This window comes from Homo sapiens, chromosome 6, assembly GCF_000001405.40.
Source record: "Homo sapiens chromosome 6, GRCh38.p14 Primary Assembly".
Classification (NCBI taxonomy): Eukaryota; Metazoa; Chordata; class Mammalia; order Primates; family Hominidae; genus Homo; species Homo sapiens.
The window spans coordinates 7,382,446-7,408,292 of NC_000006.12; the positions used below are offsets into that span (position 1 = coordinate 7,382,446).

At 40.1% G+C, this 25,847-nt stretch overlaps 2 protein-coding genes across 6 annotated transcripts in view, besides 5 other annotated features; one reads left to right on the forward strand and one right to left on the reverse strand.

Moving 5' to 3' along the window:
- Positions 1–7,297, reverse strand: part of CAGE1 (cancer antigen 1) — a 63,084-nt gene extending 55,787 nt beyond the window's left edge. For 2 of the 3 annotated variants that reach the window (NM_001170692.2, NM_001170693.2), the window contains exons 1-3: positions 6,757–7,297; positions 4,534–4,751; positions 3,340–3,427 (exon numbers count right to left, since the gene is read on the reverse strand). In NM_001170692.2, coding sequence (NP_001164163.1) covers positions 3,340–3,427; positions 4,534–4,728 — 283 coding nt within the window. In that variant the 5' untranslated portion in view covers positions 4,729–4,751; positions 6,757–7,297. The remainder of the gene's footprint in view (positions 1–3,339; positions 3,428–4,533; positions 4,752–6,756) is intronic. The other variant, NM_205864.3, reaches the window with a different exon arrangement.
- Positions 6,976–7,035: an enhancer, noted in NCBI's record as "active region_23947". NCBI's record gives its function as "activates an Ori minimal core promoter by ATAC-STARR-seq in GM12878 lymphoblastoid cells {active_cell/tissue: GM12878}" and the evidence as "EXISTENCE:reporter gene assay evidence [ECO:0000049][PMID:35858748]".
- Positions 7,046–7,095: an enhancer, noted in NCBI's record as "active region_23948". NCBI's record gives its function as "activates an Ori minimal core promoter by ATAC-STARR-seq in GM12878 lymphoblastoid cells {active_cell/tissue: GM12878}" and the evidence as "EXISTENCE:reporter gene assay evidence [ECO:0000049][PMID:35858748]".
- Positions 7,226–7,645: an enhancer, noted in NCBI's record as "active region_23949". NCBI's record gives its function as "activates an Ori minimal core promoter by ATAC-STARR-seq in GM12878 lymphoblastoid cells {active_cell/tissue: GM12878}" and the evidence as "EXISTENCE:reporter gene assay evidence [ECO:0000049][PMID:35858748]".
- Positions 7,226–8,035: a biological region, named in NCBI's record as "NANOG-H3K27ac-H3K4me1 hESC enhancer GRCh37_chr6:7389927-7390713".
- Positions 7,249–8,035: an enhancer, noted in NCBI's record as "NANOG-H3K27ac-H3K4me1 hESC enhancer chr6:7389927-7390713 (GRCh37/hg19 assembly coordinates)". NCBI's record gives its function as "activates a minimal SCP1, AML or CMV promoter by ChIP-STARR-seq in naive H9 embryonic stem cells {active_cell/tissue: H9 hESC(naive)}" and the evidence as "EXISTENCE:reporter gene assay evidence [ECO:0000049][PMID:30033119]".
- The window catches only part of RIOK1 (RIO kinase 1), a 28,230-nt gene continuing 9,745 nt past the window's right edge, over positions 7,363–25,847 (forward strand). The window contains exons 1-12 of one of the 3 annotated variants that reach the window (NM_001348194.2): positions 7,363–7,628; positions 10,654–10,858; positions 12,576–12,698; positions 14,258–14,327; positions 16,253–16,295; positions 18,513–18,605; positions 20,158–20,270; positions 20,372–20,452; positions 21,496–21,582; positions 21,973–22,110; positions 22,473–22,576; positions 22,804–22,910. In NM_001348194.2, the coding sequence (NP_001335123.1) occupies positions 12,644–12,698; positions 14,258–14,327; positions 16,253–16,295; positions 18,513–18,605; positions 20,158–20,270; positions 20,372–20,452; positions 21,496–21,582; positions 21,973–22,110; positions 22,473–22,576; positions 22,804–22,910 (891 nt within the window). In that variant the 5' untranslated portion in view covers positions 7,363–7,628; positions 10,654–10,858; positions 12,576–12,643. Of the gene's footprint in view, positions 7,629–10,276; positions 10,525–10,653; positions 10,859–12,575; positions 12,699–14,257; positions 14,328–16,252; positions 16,296–18,512; positions 18,606–20,157; positions 20,271–20,371; positions 20,453–21,495; positions 21,583–21,972; positions 22,111–22,472; positions 22,577–22,803; positions 22,911–25,847 lie in introns of those variants that run through there. The other 2 variants (NM_031480.3, XM_011514933.4) reach the window with 2 other exon arrangements.

A 25,847-nucleotide genomic window follows, 5' to 3' on the forward strand; every position in this document is an offset into this window, starting at 1 on the left:
CACGCGCCACTATGCCCAGCTAATTTTTGTATTTTTAGTAGAGGCGGGGGTTTCACCATATTGGCCAGGCTGGGTTTGAACTCCTGACCTCCTGATCCGCTTGCCTCGGCCTCCCAAAGTGCTGGGATTACAGGTATGAGCTACCGTGCCCAGCCCTGCATTTCTCATGTCTTAAGAAATCTTAGGCTGGGCGTGGTGACTCATGCCTGTAATCCCAGCACTTTGGGAGGCTGAGGCCGGCAGATCACAAGGTCAGGGGTTCAAGACCAGCCTGGCCTACATGGTGAAACCCTGTTTCTACAAAAACACAAAAAAACTAGCCGTACATAGTGGCAGGCAGCTGTAGTTTCATTACTCAGGAGGCCGAGGCAGGAGAATAGTTTGAACCCGGAAGGTGGAGGTTGCAGTGAGCCGAGATCGCTCCACTGCACTCCATCCTGGGTGACAGAGCGAGACTCCATCTCAAGAAAAAAAAGAAAAAGAAATCTTTTCTGTTGTCACAAAGGCATTTGATATGGTTTGGCTCTGTGTTCCCACCCAAATCTCATCTCCAATTGTAATCCCCACGTATTGAGGGAGGGACCTGGTGGGAGGCAATTAAATCATGGGAACGGTTTTCCCCATGCTGTTCTTGCGATAGTTGAGTTCTCACAAGATCTGATGGTTTCAAAGTGTTTGGCAGTTCCCCTGCCCCTCCTGTCGTCATTTAAGACATGCCTTGCTTCCTGTTTGTCTTGTGCCGTGATTCTGTTTCGAGGCCTTCCCAGTCATGTGGAACTGTGATCCAATTAAACCTCTTTTCTTTATAAATTATCCAGTCTCAGGTAGTTCTTTATGGCAGTGTGAAAACAGACTAATACAGCATTTTCTACACTTCTTTTATAAGTTAGAACTTTGCAGTTCACATGTAGGCCTTTACCCATGTGGACTTTATTTTGTATTTGGTGTGAGGTAAGGTTCTAATCATTTTCTGCATTGAGAGAGCCAACTGTTCCAGCACAACCAAATGAACACCCCCACTGGTTTATAATGACACCTCTATCAAATACCAGGTGTCCTCATATATAAATGGGTCTACTTTTGGACTTTGTCTTTTATTTATCCCACTGGTTTGTTACCCTTCTGCCTATAATACATTGTTATAATTACTATAACTAATAACTCTTGTTATCTAGCAGGGTAAGTCTCCACATCTTCTTTTTCAAAATTGTATTGGGTATTTTTTTTAACTTTTTCACTTCTGAATGGGGATGTTAGGATTAAGGTAGGATACATGAAATTGCATTAATCAATAGACTTCAGGAAAACTGACATCTTTACAATCTGAACATGAAACATTTAATTATTTTTTATGGCCTCCAGGAAAGTTTTATAATGTTTTTTAATGGAAACTTACACTTTTTGTTAGATTTATTCTTAGGTACCTTAGTTTGTGCTGTTACTGATAATAGTAAGTTTTTAAGAATTACTGTTTTACATTTGTTGTTGCTAGTGCATTGAATGCTATTGGTTTTTTAATATTAATTTTATATCTAGCTTTCTTCTAAACTTTCTTATTAGTTTTAATAGCTCATCTGTAGGTGCTTATGACTTTTCTATGTAGAAAAGTACATATTTGCAAATAATGATAATTACTTCTCTTCCTTTCTAATCCTTATAGCACTTATTGTCGCCCAGGCTGGAGTGCAGTGGCACCATCTCGGCTCACTGCAAGCTCCACCCCCTGGGTTCATGCCATTCTCCTGCCTCAGCCTCCTGAGTAGCTGGGACTACAGGCGCCCACCATCATGCCCGGCTAATTTTTTGTATTTTTAGTAGACACGGGGTTTCACCATGTTAGCCAGGATGGTCTCGATCTCCTGACCTCGTGATCCGCCTGCCTCGGCAGCGCTTATTTTTCTTACACCTGCATGTATTAAATTCCATAATTTCAATAAGCCTTGTCAAATCTTTTCATTTTAGTATTATTTGCAAGTATTAAAAATAAAGACATTTGTATACAGCATTTAGATTTACTTTAATAAACATGATCAGTGTAGGGCCCGGTGTGGTGGCTGATACCTGTAATCCCAACACTTTGGGACACCGAGGCAGGAGACTCACTTGAGCCCAGGAATTTGAGACCAGCCTGGGCAGCATAGTGAGATCCATTTCAAAAACAAAACCAAAAACATGATCAATGTATCTCATTATATGATTAAATCCTAAATAGCTTTCATCTGTCAATTTAGGATTAGAATAACAGATTTGGGGTTAAATCAACACACAGCTCTCTTTTTTTTTTTTGAGACAAGGTCTCACTATGGTTGCCCATGCTGCAGTGCAGTGGCGTGATCTCGGCTCACTGCAGTCTCAGCCTCCCGCGCTCAGGTAATTCTCCCACCCAGGCCTCCAAAATGGACCACGATGCCTGGCTAATTTTTTGTATTTTTAGTAGAGACGGGGTTTCGTCCTATTGCCCAATCTGATTTCAAACTAGTGGACTCAAGCAATCCTTCTGCCTTGGCCTCCCAAAGAGCTGGGATTACAGGTGTGAGCCACTGTACCTGGTGTTTTTTGTTTGTTTTGGTTTTTTTTGAGATGGAGTTTCGCTCTTGTTGCCCAGGCTGGAGCGCAATGGTGCAATCTCGGCTCACAGCAACCTCCACCTCCTGGGTTCAAGGGAGTCTCCTGCCTAAGCCTCCCAAGTAGCTGGGATTACAGGCATGCACCACCACACTCAGCTAATTTTGTATTTTTACTGGAGACGGGGTTTCTCCATGTTGGTCAGGCTGGTCTTGAACTCCCGACCTCAGGTGATCCACTTGCCTCAGCCTCCCAAAGTGCTGGGATTACAGGCGTGAGCCACCGTGCCTGGCCCCCGCTTTTTTTTTTTAAGAGACAGGTTCTCCTTCTGTTGCCCACTGGAGTGCAGTGACATGATCATAGCTCATAACAGCCTTGGACTTCCTGGCTCAAGCAATCCTCCTGCCTTGGCCTTCCAAAGCACTGGTATTATAGATATGATCCACCACACCCAACCTCAATACACATTTAAGGATACTTGTATAGTAGAAAATTTTTGTGTCTGAGTCTGAGACTTGATCACGGCTCATTCATTTAAAGCTACACAATCCTGGGCAAGTTACTCTCTGAGCCTTATTTTCCTTATCTGTAAAATGAAGATAAAAACAGCCCTTACTTCAATTTTTTAAAATTCTTATTTCAATAAGATTTTTTTGTGGATTAAGTGTGATGATGTATATAAAGTGCTTAGCACAAAACCTGGCTATTGTTACTATCACGGAACACAAAAAAAAGTTTCTCTCTTTTGCATATTGCTAACAAGTAGATACTTACCATTTAACAAATTGTCTAGTGTGCCATAAGCATCTTCACAAAGTGTGGATTCATACTCATTTTCCCTTTCAAAATTCTTTATTTCGTTCTGTATTAATAAAAAAGGCATCAATACTTCAAGCAAACATCACAAGCTTCTTCTAAAGGTATTTGCACATTGTTACATAATTCTGCTATTAGAATATTTCATTACATAGGTAGAATGTGCTTTCTAGTATCTTTCCCCAGCATGTATTTGGCTCCCTTTTAGTAAAACTATGCTAACAGAGTCCCAATATTAAACAACAATGTAACAAATAGCTTGTTATTTTAATATTTTGGTTTTTTGGTAAGTCAAATCATGTGACTATAAACTTAGGGATACGTGATAGCATATTTATGTATTGATAATTATTTGATGTTTATTAAATCTAGTCTAAACAGCATTAAGATGGTTATTTCAGTCTTTTAACACTGAAGATATATAAAACAGGCATATATCTTTGATGTATTTTTATAAATTCCTATTTAGTGGAATCAGATGTCACTGACTATCAAACGTTTAGCACAACACTCATGAAGATATTGGGACATTACAATCTTTTATTTTTTAATAAAGGGAGCTAGGCATTTTCATGAAGACAGGAAAGTTGTCATTTATATGCAGGGTGCTGTCAATGTCATTATGAATGACAACTGAATCATTTGCATACTGATGTAAGTGGAAGATGCATTAGACTAGAAGTCAGGTTCCTTGGGCTCTTGTCCTGCCTCTGACTGAATTGGTCACGTCCCCTGGCTGCACTCCTGGCTAGAAAGGATCAGTTTTAACACTGTGTGTAAAAATGTACCTTGCTCTCTCGCATAGGCTGGAGTGCAGTGGCGCGATCTTGGCTCCCTGTAACCTCTACCTCCCAGGTTCAAGTGATTCTCCTGTCTCAGCCTCCAGAGTAGCTGGGATTACAGGTGCTCGCTTCCATGCCTGGCTAATTTTTATATTTTTAGCAGAGATGGGGTCTCACCATGTTGCCCAGGCTGGTCAAAATGTATCTTACGCTAGCGAAACTGGGAAAACCAGACCCTGTATTCCCCTCCTTTATGTGTCCACCGAATATTGTTTTATTGTTCCTTATAGTTTTGAAGAAATTTTCATATGGAAGACAATGTGAATTCTGAATACATCTGAGCCTCCTGGAACTTATAAGCAATGCACACCTGAGGCAAGTCACAAGTGGTGCCGGTGGTTTCCATACAGATTGGAGAATGTGAAAGCATTACACCTTGAGAAAGATTGCTGACATTCATGGTATCCGATTCTGACATGCTTTCTACTTTTTCATGAGAAGTATCCACTTCAAAATGTACAGGATCTGAAGGTGATGACCAAAATTTTTGATAGTCCTTGTTCATAACTGTTGAACAATAGAAGACTTCTTTAAAAAAAAAATGTGTCTATTAGTAGGTATAAACAAAAAGTTTTTTCCCTATCCCTCTTCTCATTAAGAAAGTAGCAAAGTTCACTGCCCTTATTTGAAATGTCATTTGTCAAGTTATTAGAAAAATTAAAAATTTTAGTCTGAGTATACCGTAATTTGGTATGGTAGTAAATACTGATTTGGAGAAAAACAAACAGTATTGGCTACTATCCAATAACTCCCTAGAAGGCTTTGGACCTAGAAGTGAAGGGATCTCTGTGTTATTTAATCAAGGATATTTACAAAATATTATCAGAGACCTAATAGTTTCCACAAAATCCTGGATTTTTATTTACTTGATACCTTCCACTTGAACACCTCACTACCAAGTCAAACCCAGCATTGTAACTGTTTTCCCTCCTCACTTTCCTATACTGCGCCTATTCCCTCAGGTACATGTGTTTGAAAACTGGACTTGTCTTGGCATCCCTCTACCTCATCATGCATGGCTATTCAGATACCAAGTCCCGTCCATGTCTCCTTTAAAAATGTCTTTCAGGGCCGAGCGCGGTGGCTCACGCCTGTAATCCCAGCACTTTGGGAGGCCGACGCGGGCGGATCACGAGGTCAGGAGATCGAGATCATCCTGGCTAACACGGTGAAACCCCATCTCTACTAAAAATACAAAAAAAAAAAAAAAAAAAAATTAGCTGGGCGCGGTGGCGTGTGCCTGTAGTCCCAGCTACTCTGGAGGCTGAGGGAGGAGAATGGCGTGAACCCCGGAGGCAGAGCTTGCAGTGAGCCGAGATGGCCCACTGCACTCCAGCCTGGGTGACAGAGCAAGACTCCATCTCAAAAAAAAAAAAAAAAAAAAAAAGTCTTTCAGTAACCTGTGCTTTCTTTCCATCCCATGTTGCCACACTGGTCCATATTCTCCTGACTTCCTCAGGCCTGTCCAGAGCTCCAGAGCTGAGAGTGGAAAGGATGGCCACTCACATTGATTCTATAAATTTTTGTCCTTCCAGGCCATCCATAGCCTGGAGTGACATCCCCTACCCGGTACTCCCCTGCTCTACTCAGATCAGGCTCATTTCCCTGCAGACAGATAATGTTCCTTACGAATTAAGCTTCAGTCATCTGCCCTGGCACGTGCTTCTCTCCTAAAACCTTCCCATCTACCCATTCATCTATTTTCAAAATTCCTACAATGTCTTCAGTCTCTAAATCTCTATCTTACAATTCAGCACTTGGTGATTTCGTTTACTGTTTTAGAGCTTCACCACTGTTTCAAGGGTGTTAGTGTTTGTGTTTACAGATCATAAATGTCTTGAGAGGAGCATACTTAGGGCTTTCCAATATCCCCTACTGCAAATGGACCAGTGCTGTCTACACAGCAAATATTGATTGAATAAAACCTGCATTCCAATGACTTATTTCTATCAAGCTCTTTCAATTTATAGTCATTACTCATCTGCCTGGATTCTTTTATTGAATTTCTGAATGAATAGTTTATTGAAAATTAGTTGTTTTCAAACCTATGTCATCACTTGGTAAAATATAAAAAAGTAAGCCAAGCAGACCAGTCAGGATCAGTGAAAGGCCCAACTTTATGCTCACTTCTCCCTTGTCTTTCAAATAATGCTGCCTGGATTGTGGTGAGATCTGAAAAATTCTTGCTTTGTTTTCCCAATGCAAAAAAGCGCAAAGGCCTTGTTTCTTAGTTTTCTTGTTTGTGAACCCAGCACTTCCAATTACATTTCTACAACTTTGTTCATCCCTCATGTGGCACTGCACAATCTGCCAGTTTACCTTTTTAATTTAAAGTTAGACTATTTTTTCCATCTTTCATTTGTCCTTACAGGTTTATGTTGGATTTTTAACATATTTATCAAATGTTTGAATAGATGTTCCAGAGACATTCTAAAGCTGTTTTAAGATAGGAGTTAAAAGAGGTGTCACGGGAGTTACTCGCAAAAACTATAGTTTTGTTTAAAAGCTTTTTCAGTTGTAAGACAAACTTTACCTTTTTAAAAAGCACTTATCTCATTCATTTTTCACCTCAAAACGAGACACCAAACTTTTTAAGACACAAAAGTGTGCTCACTTCCAGGATCCATAGTTTCTTGGACCCACGCTACGGACCTGGCTCTCCCTCCCTCTGCACCGGGTTTTGTGGGAGGGAGAACGCTTTCCAACCTCCTCCACCAAGGACTCTCACAAACTCGCAATCGGGCTCCCGGAGTGCTGGAACGCCCCTGTGTGACGTCCGCCCGCGCCGGGGGAACTCCGCAGAGACAGGTGCAGCCCGCGAGGCCCGAGCGACCCTACTGTGGGTGCGGTGTCTTCCCAGAGAGTGGTGAAGTTAGGAAGGTACGACCCCCTAGGCCGAACAGCCTGTGGGCTAGCTGGCGCCTCCTGCCGCAGTAAACACAAAGTGGGGTACAGAAACGAAAACTCCGGGAAGAAACGGCCAGCACGGGCCTCGCCGTGCCGGCTACTCAACACGCCTTCCTGAGAGCACAGAACATCCACAGCCCTATACAGCGCGCCATCCAGAGAGCTCCGGACTCCCAGCTCGGCGCAGGGGCGGGACTTCCGCTCAAGTCAGACTTCCGGGCGAGGCGGTGAGGGGCTTCCGGTTGGGGTGGCAGGGTGGTGGATCTGTCGGTCCCGTTTTCCCGTCGCACGTGGTGGCCACTGTTGGCTTCTGAATGGTTTGCAAGGCGGATATCCACGCCAAGGCCTTTGGATCGGCCGTGGGTACATCCGTCTGAGCCGTTCCTTTCCATCGCAGAGCGGCGGCCTCCGGCGGCGCTCTCCAGTCATGGACTACCGGCGGCTTCTCATGAGCCGGGTGGTCCCCGGGCAATTCGACGACGCGGACTCCTCTGACAGGTAGGCGGCCGTACAGTGCCCTGGCTCTGGGTACGGCTCTCTCCTTGACCGCCCCCTTGGGGTGTGGACTCTTGTTTGCGGTTTAGAGGGAGACTAGTGGTTCATCACTCAGCGTCTCTCTTGACAACCCTTTGCCTGTTTCTGCATCCCAGCTGGGTTTTTCTCCCAGTTCACGCGGCAGAGTTAAGTGAAAGCTACTTGTCAAGGGAGTCTGCGGTTCTCAGGTCGGTTAGCGTCACTGGGAGGCAGAGTTGGGGATAGCGATTAGGAAACATGGGTTTTTGCGTTTTAACCACATTTAGCGTTCAACAAATACTTACTAAGCACTTAATATGTACCACGTTCTGTCCTGGGCGCCGGAGGTAACAAGAAGAACCAACTTCCTGCTGTCATGGAACTTTACCTTCTACGTGAAAGAGAGGGCACACCATTTAAAAACCAAATAATGATGTAGACTATGCAAATCGTTTGATATACCAAGTGGTGACTGAATGGGTAGGGAAAGGTTAAGTCCAGATTTGAATGACAAGGAGCTAATCCTGGCAAGAGCAGAGGGAACAGCATTTCACACAGAAGGGACAGCAAGAGCAAAGGCCCCGAGGCCAGAGTGCCTAGAGCACAGTGGAGGTAGTTGAGAAGATTGGTAGGGTGATAGAGAAGTAAGAAGGGGGGCCAGATCATGGAGACCTTTACAAGTGATGGTGAAAAGTTCAGATATTAATGTGGGTCTTATGGAAAGCCATAGGAGGGATTTTAGCAGAAGAATGACATTATTTGCTTGGTGATTTAAAGGAATCATTCTTTCTAGGTAGATGATGTTCATGGAGGGTGGGAGTGGAACAGAGAGACCAGTTCAAAAATAATAAGGTAATCAGATTCAAAGATGGTGGGGACTAGAGCCCAGATCCTAAAGATATGTCTTGGAGGTAGAAGTGGCAGCGTTTGGTGGTAGACTGGACGTGGAGTCTGGGGAAAGAGGGATGAAGGATAACTCCTGCCTAAAAGCAAAATGAAACATATTGGAGTTATTTTGGAATTCCAAGAAAACAGCTTGTACTTTATGTTTACAGTAAGGATTCATCACATGCGGATTTTGTTAATTATTGGGGATGTTTTCAATAAATATATGTATGTTGAATGCTTTCTGTGAGTCAGATCTAGTCTTAGGTGGTAGGGAGGCATTGGTAAATACCATCCTGAATGACACAGAGCTTGCACCCTAGCAGGGGAAACCGATATTATTAAATAATTAGACTATTTGTATTCGAATTGGGTAAGTAGTACAAAGGAGAAGTGGGGGAAAAATAGGGAAGACTTCCTTGAGCAAGTGATAGTGAGCTGATACTTGATGGATGAGTAGGGGTTAGCCAGAGAAAGAGGAAGGGCATTCCAGTTTTATGGTTACGGAGAAGTGTACAAAAAGCTTTAGAGAAGAAAAGCAGCAGAAGAAACACAGCCAGCATAGCTAGTGGGTAGTTAATGGTAATGAGAGGGCACTAATTTACCATCCACCCCAGGGTATTGTAAGGATACACCAGTGATTTTCCATTGGGGAAGATGTTGCCATCCCGACTTCTACCCAGGGGACTTTTGGCAATTTCTGGAGACGTTTTTGTATGTCACAGCTGGGGGTGGTGGTACATTAGTGGCATCTGGTAAGTAGAGGCCAGAGATATGCTGCTAAAAATCCTACAGTGCAGAAGACAGTCCCCCACAACGAAGAATTATCTGGCAAAGTTACAACTTTAACATGCCACTCTAGGCAATTATATATCAATCTGTGGAGCATATGTATGAAGTCCTGGTAAGTAGCAAGTGTTTGATGATTGTCTGTTTTCTTCCTCCACATGTCCACGGGGAACCCTCAGAGCCATGGCTAATTAATAAATTGGGATTGATAATCTGAATTTACTTAAACTCGTCTGTTTTTCAGCTGGTATCTCATATTATCAGCTGCTTTTTTATGGTTTCTGTCCTTTTCTGTACATGAGAGGTAAAAACTGAGTCCTCTGTTGAATTTGGCCTGCAGACATGTTTTGTTTGGTATGCACAATTATTTGTAAAAATTGACTATGCCAGTGAAGGGATAGATTTTACACAGAAATCCAGACTTACAGCTTCACTTGAAAAATTAAGATCTGGTAACACTAGGCCTGAATTCTAATATGGCAAAAAAAAAAAAAAAAAAAGCCCTTACTGGTTGTGCTCCCTTTACCTTGGACCTCTTCTCCCAGTTTGCCAGTCCCCACTTCTATTGTGCAGCCTACTTCTCTCATTTGTAGTGCCTGGTCCCTGTATTCACCATTTCTTCCCATCATGAACAGGGATGATTTGGATTTCTTTGTGGAACACAAATCTTGATGTAACTTCTTTTATTGCAAAGTGTTATCGAGTTCAAAGTAAGACTGCCTTAGACTTATTCCCAAATTTTTTGTCAGAAAGCTTTTTTTTTTTTTTAATTACAATTTTTTTTAGAGACAGGGTTGCCCAAGCTGGAGTACAGTGGCACGATCATGACTCACTGCAGCCGTGAACTCCTGGGCTCAAGCAATCCTATGGCCTCAGCCTCCCGAGTAGCTGGGATCAAAGGTGTGAACCGCTGCACCAGCCTTTTTTCCCCCTTTCTTTTTTCTTGTTTTACAGAAAGATTTTCCTAGAGATTTTCTAAAGCAGCTCTGCGAATGATTTTCCTAGAGTCAAGTCTGGTATACTGGTCTGAGTTGTTTATTCAGCAGAGAAGATAACAATATAATTTCTAACTTTAACAAGGCAGAAGCAGATTTAACTTGATGTGCTTCTTGAATAGTAGGCTTTGGGCATGGAGAATGAGCAAACAACTGCAACAGAACTGGAAAACAGGAGAACATGGTTTTAAGGAGATGGAGCTTATCGGAAGGTGTATTTTATATAAATATATAATCTTTTAGATTTATCAATATTTTAATATCTTACATCATAAATATGTGAGATCAGTTAGGGTATGTGGAAATATTGTTATGAAATAATAAAACATTGTTATTTCTAGTGAAAACAGAGACTTGAAGACAGTCAAAGAGAAGGATGACATTCTGTTTGAAGACCTTCAAGACAATGTGAATGAGAATGGTGAAGGTGAAATAGAAGATGAGGAGGAGGAGGGTTATGACGATGATGATGATGACTGGGACTGGGATGAAGGAGTTGGAAAACTCGCCAAGGGTTATGTCTGGAATGGAGGAAGCAACCCACAGGTATTTTATAAAGGATCCTGCACATCTTTATGTAGTCTGCTTATGTCTACTTTTTTAAAAGGCTGTTTTGTGATTCTGAAATTGAATAACTAAAAGATTTTCTTCATGTTATATTGTCCTGTAGCCTCAGCCTTTACTGATTTTCACTTTTCATCCTTTCTGTATTTCTGATAATTTCCTGGGTGTGGATTCTTTCCAGAATCTGTAAATTTAAAAAGAGTTATAAAGATTGTGAGCTTAAAATCTTCATGGGAAAGGGCATGGATTGGCAGTTTACTACAAATAGTTAAGAAACATGGTAAAAAAGTTCAGCCTCATTGGTAATTAAAGAAATGCAGATTAAATTTGTAGAGATGCCGTTTTTTCACCTGTGAAACTGTTAAAGACAAAACATATCATTGATGGTCAAGTAAATAGGTGCACTTACTTGTAGGATAAGCTGGTATGTGATAAAAACTTTAAAAGCTTCAAAATACTTTGACTTAGCGATTCTGTGAGTGTGCCAAGACTTAGTTACAAGAATGATCCTCCAGGATTGTTTATGGTAGAGGAACATTGGAAGCAACCTTGAACGGGATTAAACCTGCTATGGGACTGATTCGCACAATGAGGCATTATACAGCCATAAAAGATGTTGTAATGGAAGACTGTATTAATGAGATAGGAATATGTTTGTGATTATTTACCATGTACAAAAAAAAGTTACCAAACCACGTACAGCTGCTGCTCATACTGGAAGTACCAAGTGTGTTAGGAGTTTGTAAGGCCATAGGATTAACATGGTACATCTTCCTGGAGCATAAAGGTTAATCCAGCAGTCTTCCTTTGACCATTAAAATGGCTATATCGGCTGGGCGCAGTGGCTCCTGCCTCTAATCCCAGCACTTTGGGAGGCCGAGCTGGGCGGATCACCTGAGATCAGGAGTTTGAGACCAGCCTGGCCAACATGGCGAAACCCTGTCTCTACTAAAAACACAAAAATTAGCCGGGCGTGGTGGTGGGTGCCTGTAATCCCAGCTACTCGGGAGGCTGAGGCTGGAGAATCGCCTGAACCCAGGAGGCGGAGGTTGCAGTGAGCCAAGATCACACCACTGCACTCCAGCCTGGGCAACAGAGCGAGACTCTGTCTGTAAAAAACAACAACAATAAAATGGCTATATCATGGACCAGAATGTGTGCATTTTAAAATAACCACATTGTGAGTGACGACAAATTTTGCATTTTTATATCGTCTTGTTCTGGTGACTCCTTCACTGATTCATAATGAGGCTTTGAGCAATTTCATTATTGAAGTTTGCGCATAGCACCAGCGTAAGTGCTGAGCCTCGTACTTAATATTTCCCTCTCTTGAGACATTGGGCCCAAAATGAAATTCTGAACCAGCTTAATGCTGGTCTTAGCTCTTTATTATATACTTTGGGGGTAAATGAACATTCTCAAATTTTAAGTCTATAAACCAGTCAAATTAGAAAACTACACTTAATTTTAATCTGTTACTTATAATAAGAGGAATCATAGAGAAGTTAAAAAAACGGATTATGCAGACTCTTTTAGTCAGTAATTTTAACCTTCTGTTTCAAATGCTCTTTAAAAAATTTTTTGAGCCAATTTGATTGACTCTTACCTTTCCTTAAGATACTCCTCTAAGTATTGATGCTTTAATAGCTAAGTATGAACTAAGGAAATGTGATGATGAATCTTAGGTTTGTTTTTACAGCTAGTGCCTTAGACTCTGGAATTCCCTTCTAGGCAAATCGACAGACCTCCGACAGCAGTTCAGCCAAAATGTCTACTCCAGCAGACAAGGTCTTACGGAAATTTGAGAATAAAATTAATTTAGGTGAGTTTACAAAATACATCACTGGGCTAAGAGGACATTTTTCAAAAACCATGGAGTGTTGTATAATTTTATTAGATCAAGAAATGAAGGCTGGCCGTGGTGGCTCACGCCTGTAATCCCGGCACTTTGGGAGGCTGAAGTGGGTGGATCACCTGAGGTCAGGAGTTTGAGACCAGCCTGACCAACATAGTGAAACCCTATCTCTACTAAAAATACAAAATTAGCTGGGCGTGGTGGCACATGCCTGTAATCCCAGCTACTTGGGAGGCTGAGGCAGGAGAATCCCTTGAACCTGGGAGGTGGAGGTTGTGATGAGCCGAGATTGTGCCGTTGCACTCCAACCTGGACAATAAGGGCAAAATTCCATCTCAAAAAAAAAAAAAAAGAAAAAAGGAATGAATGTATTCAAGTGTTACTAACTCAATAATGTTTAGAGAAAATAAAAATCGTAATTTAAAAACATAACTTTAGGAAAAGACTTAAGCTTATGCTATTTTGGTTGTTTTCCCACTTGCCATAGGAATGTAATGTTACAAAAACCCATTTAAGTATTGTCTGTTCGGTTTTAGGTTTTTTTTTTTTTTGAGACAGGGTCTCACTCTGTCACCCAGGCTAGAGTGCAGTGGCACGATCTTGGCTCACTCCAACCCTGATTTCTGGGGTTCAGACGATCCTCCCACCTTAGCCTCCCAAGTAGCTAGGACCACAGGTGCACACCACCACACCCGGCCAATTTTTATTTTCTGTAGAGACGGGGTTTCTCCATGTTGACCAGGCTGGTTTTGAACTCCTGAGCTCAAGTGATCTGTCCGCCTCAGCCTCCCAAAATGTTGGGATTACAGGTGTGAGCCACTGCGCCTGGCCTGTTTTAGATTTTGTAATAGGGTTATCTCATAGTAGGATGTTGAAAATACTAGAGTATTGAATATAGTTACATACGGTTTCACTAGAGGTTTTTTGTGTAGGTGTTAATTATTTAGTGACCTGTTCGATGCCAGGCATCAGAATGTTAATTTGAATCATCATCTCATAGAAAATGTAAGAGGGATGGAGGGAAGGAAGGAAGGCCATCTTTCTATTCTTGTGGATCTTCACTCTAAACCTAACACAGTGTTTCTCATATAAGCTGTCAATACATGCTAAATTAATATAAGTATTTTAGGGCCTTCTTTGCCTATCATAGACTTATAACTTGAAGTGAAACAAGTTTTTAGAATTAAACTTGAAATTCAGGCAGTTTTATTAGTCATGTGGAGTACTAGCAAGTGTCTGAAATTTATTATGCAAATTATTATCTTTGAAGAATTTCTGCATCTAGAATTCTGTGGCTCAAATATTATAGCTGTAGTGATGAAAGTGACACTTACGAAGGAAACGCAGTTTAGTGCCTACTTTTAAAAACATTACATTGTTTTCATTACTAAACTGTATTCTATTTACAATAAAACATTTAGAAAGTGTAGAAGAGAAGGAAGAGGGGAGAAATACCCTGTTCAGCAACTCTGTTAATGTCTTTTCGTCTTACATATTGTTTACATTGTGGGTTTCTTGTATTTTAGATAAGCTAAATGTTACTGATTCCGTCATAAATAAAGTCACCGAAAAGTCTAGACAAAAGGAAGCAGATATGTAAGTAATATTTTAATAATATGCATGGGTGATAAGGACTAATCTAGATTAAGCAGCACCTTGATCATAATTCTTTTACAGAGGATGTTCATTTGTATACTTAAACCAATCATTATTTTGGTGTGTGTGTGTGTGTGTGTGTGTGTGTTTTCCTTAGCTTAAATTAGGATAACCTATGCCTTTGTGAATTAAAAATATTAATGAATCTTGGCTGGGTGTGGTGGCTCATGCCTGTAATCCCATCACTTCAGAAGGCCGAGCTGTGGGGATCACTTGAGGCCAGGAGTTTGAGACCAGCCTGGCCAACATGGTGAAACCATGTCTGTACAAAAAATACAAAAATTAGCCAGACATGGTGGTGCACGCCTGTAATCCCAGCTACTCAGGAGGCTGAGGTGTGAGAATCTCTTGAACCTGGGAGGTGGAGGTTGCAGTGAGCCAAGATCGTGCCACTGCACTCCAGCCTGGGCCACAGAGCGAGACTCCATCTCAAAAATAAATACATAAAATAAAAATTAATGAATTTTAAGAAATACATGGTAAAAGTGTAATCTCATGAAATTTACAAATGTGTTCTTATGAGGGGAACAGTGTTTGTAGATTTCAGTTTAAACTAAAATGTGCAAAAATGTTCCCTTAAAATTTATTAAGAATTATTCTTTCCCATGAAGTATTTTTAAAAATTTAAGGGAAGACTATGAACTAATGATATAACTGAGAACTGTTTCTGTTTACACTTCTGTTCTCAAAGCCAATTGTTTAAGATCTGAATAACTTCTCTTATATGCTAATAACTCTAAAGTATTATCACTATATTATAGAAAACGACACTAAGATCATACAACTAACTGTGAGAATTGAACGTAAAAGCCAGCTTTCTTCCAATTTATTGCTATGTCCAAGAGGTATCAGCTTTTTGAGATACACCATAGTTATTTGTTATTTCACTGGTATCTGTTTGAATCTTTGTGTTTAAACCTTTATTAGTTTAGGTTAGTGTGCTAGGTGGAGTCACTCAGTGTATAAGCAGAAGCAAATCAGAGTCTGCATTTGAATACTGTCTTGAAACGATTTTAAAAAACAAAACTGCCAGGTGCAGTGGCTCACGCCTGTAATCCCAGCACTTTGGGAGGCAGAGGCGGGCGGATCACAAGGTCAGGAGATCGAGACCATCTTGGCTAACAAGGTGAAATCCTGTCTCTACTAAAAATACAAAAAAATTAGCCGGGCTTGGCGGCGGGCGCCTGTAGTCCCAGCTACTCGGGAGGCTGAGGCAGGAGAATGGCGTGAACCCGGGAGGCAGAGCTTGCAGTGAGCCGAGATCGTGCCACTGCACTCCAGCCTGGGCGACAGAGCGAGACTCCATCTCAAAACAAACAAACAAAAACAAAAACAAAAAAACTTGTATCTTCTTAGAAAATGCCTCTAAACAGAAAGCCTTGTAAATGACTAACTCTATGTGGAGGCTGGGGCAGGAGGAATACTTGAGCCCAGGAGTCTATGCCTAGCCTGGGCAACATAGTAAGATGCTGTCTCTTTAAAAAAAAAAAAGAAGACAAGACTTTAATTGTGTGCTAACAGAATCATTAAAGATGTGAAGGACAGTACAAATATACTCAATGTTTTCTCTTTTTCAGCATAGTTCACTTTACCCTGGCGGCTCTTTGATGCTTCTGAAATAGGAATAGATTTTTCTTTTTACTGTATACATACTCCTTTTGCCAAAATACAGAATTGAATTTTGGTATTCAGGGGAAATGAAGAAAGTTTCACTGAGTAATGAAAAATCTACAATCATATCATAAAATCTGTTATTTAGAGAAACTACCTACTTAGGAATTTTCATGAAATTATCTACATTTAGAAGATTTTGGCTTCTCACTGAATTTTGAATGTGTCAACTATACGTTTTTGTTTTTGGTTAGGTATCGCATCAAAGATAAGGCAGACAGAGCAACTGTAGAACAGGTACAATTTAAATGTGTTGCAAACTCTTCTTTTTAATTAGCATTTCTTCTCTCTTTGAATTGTAGTTTGCTTTTATCCTTTTTGCTTAATGCTAATGTTACCTAAAATTACTCCTATATAAAATTATTCCTTTTTATAGTTTCGAGTTTAGAGACCTACATCTTGCTTTTATAGGACTATTGGATGAATTAGAGTCATGGTCCTTCAGTGGCCTTGCAGAGCCACCATGCGATGCTTTCCCTTCTTGGAGAGATTATCAGACCAGCAATCTTTTAGAAAAGGTCCGTAGGAATTTTGTGAGCTTTCCCAGAAGATAGGTAGGGTATCTGCCACAAAGCAGGAAGTGTGGGTGTAAAAGAGAGAGGGGCAGATAATGTCTTCAAATTTCCAGTTAGGAATCCTTTGTTTAGAAATTATGCTTGTTTTATTCTTTCTATTCAAGAATGGGGAAAAATTGGCCCCTAATTTTCCCACATTCCGAAGAATGTGATTGGATATTAGCCTTGGCCCAGATTTTTGATGTGAAGAAAGTGATAAAAAGAGTCAGAACATTTGCCTCTGCCACCTACCACTCCTTTCCACCACCCCCTCCCATATACACAAGCACATGTTCTGAATTCCACCATTAGACAGAAGCCGGGTCTGTGGTCTGTGTCTTCATTGTCCCCTAGTTTATTTTGTGATTTATTTCTGTAATTGAAAACAAAGTATGGTTCACCTCGGAAAAATGAGATAGCCTTAAGTTTCAAAGACCCTAAATAACTTTAGGGTTATTTTTGGCAGGAAATTCTTTTTCTCTTTCAAAATTAATTTTGAATGATAGAGTACATAGCTGGAGTCTTCAGCTGTCTATATAAAATATATGCTTGTGTGTAAATTTATCATTTCTCTTTCCCTGTTTTGTTCTTAAGCCATCTGGTTTGTTACTTCTTCCTATGCCCCTGACTTGTCTAACTGCCAACTTCGCAGAAGCACAGTTCTGTACCTAGAGGCCCATACTCAGCCAGCTGACTTCCCCTCTTTGCTTACCTGTGCAGTAGAGAAGAAATGGAAACTAGTGCCTTTTCATTCTTCTCTAGTTGCAATGGTCGTGATTTGGTTTTTAGTCCTATAGTCTTCCCAGGTGGTTTTGTTTATATTAACCTTAGGTTTGTGGTGTGACCCCAGCCACTTCATTGAAGGTGGACCCTAAAGTATAGTTGAGTTTGGCTAGTTTATAATACCGTCTCACCCCATGGGGGCTAGAGGGCCTGCCTGAGCCACAAGGAGTTATTGGTTGGTATCCTTAGAAATTGCATACAAATATTTGGCTGCTTTAGTTTCAGAGATAAACAAGAACAGCCTTTAAATTCACTGCCTTCTGTTTGTTAGAGAAGACTTTGAAATCCATTTTACTCAAGATTGATTATTCTGGCTTGAAGGAAATGCTTACCGTGATTTACTAATCTATAATGGCAGGGGTCTGCAGACTCTTGAAAGGGCCAACTAATAAATATGTGTGAGCATTGTGGCTCACATATAGTTTCTGTTGATTTTTTTTCAAAGCAATCATTTAAAAGTGTAAAACCCATTCTTAACTTGCAAGCTAAGGAAAAACAAGCTGTGGTCTGATTTGGTCCATGGGCCGGAGAGTGCTGACCCCTGATTTACAGCTGCCTGTCCACGACGGTAGCCACTGGGCACTTGAGATGTGGCCAGTCTGAATTGAGATGTGCTTTAAATGCAAAAGACACCGGAGTTTGGAGACTTAGTGTCAAAAACAAGGATTATCTCACTGATGACTTTTTATATTGATACAGGTTGAAATGATAGCGTTTTAGATATTTTGAGTTAAATAAAATATATTAAGATAATTTCACCTGATTCTGTTTACTTTCAGTGTAGTGACTAGAACAATGTAATACTATTTATGTAGTTTGCATTATACTTCTATTAGCTAATAGCCTAGAGTTCTGTTTCTCTTGAACTTGGTTGCCTTTGATTTCCATGACTGGATGAACTTGCTAGTTGGTTTTGCCTTTGGTTCCTTTGGCCTTTACCTGACATTTTACTGATTAACAATTAGAGTGAATAAAAGCACCAAATAGTGACTCTCATTTAGTCAACCAGGATAGCGTCGTACAGTTAAGCTCTGCTGTTTATTGATTGTCACAGGTTTTAATGAGGAAAATTTGGTACCGTCTTTTGGAACTTTTTAATTTTTGCATTTCTTTTTAGGTGTTGGATCCCAGAACAAGAATGATTTTATTCAAGATGTTGACTAGAGGAATCATAACAGAGATAAATGGCTGCATTAGCACAGGAAAAGAAGTGAGCTCTTCTTTGGATGATTGGATATTTAATTTTCTTATTTCAGATACCAGATGAAACTGGCACTTAGAACTACATTATGCCTTTAAGAAGAAAGAAAAACAAAGCCATACACATTAATATTCATGGTTAGAGAGGAAGTTGTACATATAACTACGCCCTTTTCACTACCGCTGCTGCATTGGATCATTGAGTCTAACTAGTTGTGCCCAGTAGTGAGTGAGATGGTCAGATTATTACAGGCCTGAGTTCTAATAAAATAAATTACTCATGGGGCCAGGGGTTTATGGTTATGTTTCTATGAGTCAGCAAGTCTTTCTTATTTTTTTCTTTACCTACGGGTATACTGCCTTCTGTTTGTTAGAGAAGACTCTGAAATCCTTTTGACTCAAAATTGACTACTCCAGCTTGAAGGAAACTCTTACTGTGATTTACTCAGCTATAATGGCAGGGGTCTGCAGGCTCTTGAAAGGGCCAGCTAATAAATATATGTGAGTGTTGTGGCTCAATATAGTTTCTGTTTTTGTTTTTTTTTTAAAGCAATTATTTAAAAGTGTAAAACCCATTCTGCTGGAAGCAATTCTCAGTAAAATTCAACTTATAAATCACTGGATTTTTAAATTTTTTTTAAACAGAGTCTTTTTTTTTTTTTTTTTTTGAGACAGTCTCCCAGGCTAGAGTGTGGTGGCATGTTCTCAGCTCACTGCAACCTCTGCCTCTCGGGTACAAGCAATTTTCCTGCCTCACCCTCCCGAATAGCTGGGACTACAGGCGTGCACCACCACACTCAGCTAATTTTTGTATTTGTAGTAGAGGCAGGGTTTTGCCATGTTGACCAGGCTGGTCTCAAATTTTTGGCCTGAAGTGATTCACCCGCCTTGGCCTCCCAAAGTGCTGCTATTACAGGCATGAGCCTCCACGCCTTGCCTAAATCACTGGATTTAAGAATGTCTTTAATTATTTTGCATATACTTGAGATATAAAAAAGTTTGAAACCACTTCTCCCCTATATTTAAATTGGATTTTACTGTACAGTCTTGCATTGCTTAATGAAGGGAATACTTTCTGAGAAATGCATCATTAGGCAAATTTGTCATTATGCGAAGAACATTATAGAGCATACTCATACAAACCTAGATAGTATAGCCTACTGCACTCTCAGGCTATACGGTAGTTCCGAATCTGTACAACAGGTTTCTGTACTGAATACTGTAACAATTGTAAGACAATGGTAAATATTTATCTATCTAAACATAGAAAAAGTACAGTAAAAATACCTGTTATAGTCTTACGGAATCACCTCATATATGCGGTCTGTCACCTGTCAGTAACTAAAACGTTATGTGGCACGTGACTGTATTTGTATATTGGAGCTATGTTTACTGTCCTTTTGATGTAATGTTTTACATTTTAATTCACATATTCAAAAGACAGTGGTATTCCTTATGCATGTTATTTCAGTTCACTTGACTTTTGAGGTTAGAATCAAATAGATTGAAAAAGTGGTTATTTAACATAAACTTCATTTTCTTTTTTTTTTGACTTAATATAGGCTAATGTATACCATGCTAGCACAGCAAATGGAGAGAGCAGAGCAATCAAAATTTATAAAACTTCTATTTTGGTGTTCAAAGATCGGGATAAATATGTAAGTGGAGAATTCAGGTAAGTTCAGATTTTTCCCTCCAGTTGGTTTAATTTCTATTTCCTAAAACATTAAAATAATAATGGAATGATTGAAATAATAAACATTTTTCTTATTCAAGATTTCGTCATGGCTATTGTAAAGGAAACCCTAGGAAAATGGTGAAAACTTGGGCAGAAAAAGAAATGAGGAACTTAATCAGGTGACTGTCTGGGATGTGTGTATGTCTGTCCTATGCCCTGTACATGAACATCAGCCCTTCCTCCCAGCAGATCCCAGTGTGGTTCTGCCCAAATGTAGGGACTTGTTAGGGCCTTTATTTCTATTAGGTCTGCTGAAGTAAGCAGAAGAAACACATGTCTGGACAAATAGAGATTGTTTCCTATTCTGTTGTTTTCTATTCTGAGAATCCATTTCAAAAGAATACTGCCACAATTCATATTTATTCCACGAAGCTAGATCATTTGGAAGGCCTTGTAAGCCATTGAAAATGTTTAGAATTTATACTGAGGATAATAAGGAACTGCTAAAGGATTTTAATCAGGAAAGTGACACAATCAGATGGTTATAATGCTCTGTCATGTTTTCGTAGGTATTGGAGTTTTCGACTAATCTTGTTAGGTCGTGAACTCTTTGTTTATCATAGTTTCCTTTTCTTAGTCCAGTTTTGGACACTTTTTTTATATTCTTTGTTTGCACTAACACCTTTTTATCAGGTAAAGGCCTCATCTAGTTGAGATCAAGTTTCCTGAAAATTATGGAGTTTTAAAAAATGTCTTATAACTTTTTATATGGTGTACACAGGTGACACATTGGATAGTGTAGTATTGAGCAAGTACTACTCGTTTTGAAAGTCTTTTGTGTTCAACAAGCTATTAGGTGTGAGTCCAACTATTTTTATTAAGCATTTTTCAGGCTATTCAACACAAAAGATACTTGTGGACCTATCTCCTCTATTTCCTCCATTGTAAGATGCACATTTTTTTCAGTTTAACATCTCTGGAATTGCTTTGGGTATTACAGGTTATGGGATGTAATAGTTGAATTGCTAGTGTTTTATCATTCTCGGTGGTACATAATGGTGCCACTTAAAATAATCTTAGAGTTTATGAAATATTATAATACATTTGAGAGGCCTTGGTGCTATTTCTTAACAGCAATATTAATCTTGGGACCTGCAGTTGTAATTTATTTAGATGCCTTTTCAACTTTTCAGTTGTCCTTTTATTTGTTATAATATCACAGGCTAAACACAGCAGAGATACCATGTCCAGAACCAATAATGCTAAGAAGTCATGTTCTTGTCATGAGTTTCATCGGTAAAGATGACATGTAAGTACATGGAAGGGCTAATAATTGCATTCTCAGAACTGTATTTTTAAGTTCTTTGAGTTTATCCACTATATGAATATTTCCCATTTGAATAACTTATTAATCTTTCCCACTATATTAGTGAATAAGTGTTATCAATGTATTCTACCTTTTCAAGTCTGAAAATGCTTCAGAATGAGGAGCAAGTTAGTCCTGTGTTGGAGGGTGGTCTTATACAGTGTGTTGGGAAAGCATCTATTTGCCGGTACCTTCTTGGTTTATGTGCATTGAGACAGATTGTCCCACATACAGCTCACATGATGAGTTGTAGAAGAGAAGGGCATGTAACAGTATAGTAAGAAGCAAGAAAACTTGTTCTTGGTCATTTTATCTTAGTTCTTTTCATTCAAGGCCTGCACCACTCTTGAAAAATGTCCAGTTATCAGAATCCAAGGCTCGGGAGTTGTACCTGCAGGTCATTCAGTACATGAGAAGAATGTATCAGGATGCCAGACTTGTCCATGCAGATCTCAGTGAATTTAACATGCTGTGAGTGTATTTTGTCTCTTAAGAACTGCCTGTCAGTTGTTTCGTGTCCTTTAAAATGATAAACAAAATCCCAATCCAAGAAGTCACACTAACTTCTGAAGTTTTATTGTTGACTTCCAAATGGTATAAGATAGGATTCCTTTTTTCAGTGACCTTAGTCACCGAATTGACTGCTTGGATCATTAACAGTGAATGGATTTTGGAAATTTTCCCAGTTCCATCTGTTAGTCAAGATTGCCTCATCTTATCTACCTTGGTGATTTTGTGAGCTACTTCCCTTGCTTTTAAGAGTAGAATTTATTTTAAACGAAAAACATAGTAAAGTAATACCATCCCACAGCTTCTGTGTCTCTGGCCCATAGGTACCACGGTGGAGGCGTGTATATCATTGACGTGTCTCAGTCCGTGGAGCACGACCACCCACATGCCTTGGAGTTCTTGAGAAAGGATTGCGCCAACGTCAATGGTGAGTAGAAACGGCAATTTTCGAAACAGCTCATTGGTCTGTTTTGGTTTTGTACTCAGTTAAGCTGTTGGCGTAAAATTTTCTCACTAAATTGTTTGGTGCAGTGATGCTTAAACCATTTGCTGGGAGATGGTATGTAATTTTATCTCCTTGTTTCTCTATAAGGTAGTTGGAATAATAATATTTTTCCTCATAAAAGCTGTCATTAACGTTTTTCCTTCTGACAGATTTCTTTATGAGGCACAGTGTTGCTGTCATGACTGTGCGGGAGCTCTTTGAATTTGTCACAGATCCATCCATTACACATGAGAACATGGATGCTTATCTCTCAAAGGTAAGATGGGGAGAGGAAGGAGGAATAGGAAATAGCAGTACAGGTGCAGTATCTCTTATCTCAAGTGCTTGGGACCAGAAGTGTTTTGGATTTTGGATTTTTTCCAGTTTTGAAATATCTGCCTTGTACTTACCCTAGTTGAGCATCCGAAATATCAAAATCCAAAATCCTCACTGCTCCATTTCACATTTCATTTGAGCATAATGTTGGTGCTCAAAAAGTTTCGGATTTTGGAGTATTTCAGATTTTTGATTTTTAGATTTGGGATGCTAACCAGTAATTGCATTTGCTTGACACTTCTGAGGGACCCAGATTGCATAGTGTAGTTTATTCATTTTGACAGCTTCCTGAGACCTTTTCCTTCCTACTTAACAGATGAAGAATCAAAAATACAGCACAACAGCCAATGGTAAAGCCAGGGGTTTTTTTTTTTTCCTTTTTTTTTTTTTTTTCTTCTCCTGAGTCAACTTGATATCCAAGCTTTTTACTTCAATTATCTGGCAAGATTACATAGACTGTCAAAGTTTGTGAAAGTTTAGCAAGAAAACTGTCAGTTTTTTGGTCATTAATTCTTTTCCCTTGTTTCTCAGGGGCCTTTCTCTTTTTTTCTTTTCTTTCTTTTTCTTTTTTCTTTTCTTTCTTTCTTTTTTTTTCTTTTTTGAGACAGGATCCCACTCTGTCACGCAGGCTGGAACATAGTGGCGCACTCTTGGTTCACTGCAACCTCTGCCCCTCAGGGTCAAGTGATCCTCCCAGCTCAGTCTCCGAGTAGCTAGGACTACAGGCACACGCCACCACACCTAGCTAATTTTTATATTTTTTGTAGAGACAGGGTTTCATCATGTTGCCCAGGCTAGTCTTGAAATCTTGGCCTCAGGTGACCCACCTGCCTCAGCCTCCCAAAGTGCTGGGATTACAGGTGTGAGCCACGACGCCCGGCCTCAGAGGCCTTTCTGAATATAGAATTTTTTAGAATTCTGGTAAAAGACATAATATAAAATTTAATGCTTTAACCATTTGAATGTATGGTTCAGTGGCATTAAGTACATTCACATTGTGGTACAAACTATCACCACTGTCTATCTCCACACCTGTTACATCATCCCAAACTGATATTCTGTACCCATTAAGTAACAACTTCCCATCCCCTGGCAATCACCATTCTACTTTCTGTCTTTGTGAATTCACCTACTCTAGGTACCTCTTATAAGTGGAATCATATAGTATTTGTCTTTTTGTGTCTGGCTTATTTCACTTAGTATGATGTCTTCAAGATTCATCCATGTTATAGCATGTGACAGGATATCTTTTTCTTTTTTTGTTTGAGACAGGGTCTCACTCTGTCACCAGGCTAGAGTGCAGTGGCGTGATCTTGGCTCACTGCAACCTCTGCCTTCGGGTTCAAGCAATTCTACCACCCTGGCCTCCCTGAGTAGCTGGGACTACAGGTGCGAGCCACTACACCCGGCTAATTTGGGTATTTTTTGGTAGAGACAGGGTTTCACCATGTTGGCCAGGCTGGTCTCCAACTCCTGGCCTTAAGTGACCCGCCTGCATCGGCCTCCCGAAGTGCTGGGATTGCAGACATGAGTCACCACGCCTGGCCTAGGATTTCTTCTTTTAAGGCTGAATAATGGTCCAGTGTATGTATATACTATATTTTGTTTATCCATTCATCTGTGGATGGACATACGGGTTGCTTATACCTTCTGGCTATTCTGAATAATGCTGCTATGAACATGGATGTATAAATATCTCTTCAAGATGCTGCTTTCAGTTCTTTCGAATATACACCCAGAAGTAGAATTGCTGGATCAAATGATATTTCTATTTTCAAGTTTCTGAGGAACCCACCATACTGTTTACTGTAGTGGCTGCACCATTTTACATTACCACCAACAATGCACAAGGGTTTTAATCGCTCCACATCCTCACCAGCACTTACTAATCTCCATACCCTCACCAACACCTATTATTTTGTTTTTTGTTTTGTTTTGACAATGAGAGACCCCCTAATGAGTGTGAGGTGTATGTTATTATGGTTTTGGTTTGTGTTTCCCTGATTACTAGTGACGTTGAGCATCTTTTCATGTGCTTCTTGCCCATTTATATATTTTCTTTGGAGAAATGTCTTTTTTTTTTTTTTTAAGAGACAGGGTCTCTCTGTTACCCAGTCTGAAGTACAGTGGTACAATCCTGTCTCACTACAGTCTCAACCTTCTAGACTCAAGCAGTTCTCCTGCCTCAGCTGCTTCAGCCTGCTGAGACTATAGGTGCAGACCATGACACCCAGCCAATTTTTTTTTTCTTTTTCATTTTGTTGGGACAGGGTCTCACTGTGTTTTCCAGTCTGGTCTTAGACTCCTGGGCTTAAGCACTCCTTCTGTCTCGGCCTCTCAAAGTTCTGGGGTTGCAGGCATGAGCCACAGTGTCCAGCCCCATGTCTTTTTTTTAATCAGGTTTGGTTTTTTTTGTTGAGTTGTTTGTATTTTCTGGATATGTCAGATACGTGATTTGCAAATGTTTATTCCCATTCTGTGACTTGTCTTTTCACTCTGTTGATTGCAAGCTTTGATGCACAGAAGTTTTAAATTTTGATGTGATCCAGTTTATCTATTTTTATTTTTGTCTCTGAATCATAGAGTTTTGAACACATGGCATGTATGCCTCTACACAGGTTTTCAGGTTTGTTTGTTTTTGAGATGGAGTCTCGTTCTGTTGCCCAGGCTGGAGTGCAATGGCACAATCTCAGCTCACTGTAACCTCCACCTCCTGGATTCAAGTGATTCTCCCACCTCAGCCTCCTGAATAGCTGGGATTATGGGCACCTGCCATCATGCCCAGCTAATTTTTGTATTTTTGTAGAGATAAGGTTTCACCATGTTGGCCATGGCAAGTCTCGAACTCCTGACCTCAGGAGATCCGCCTGCCTCGGCC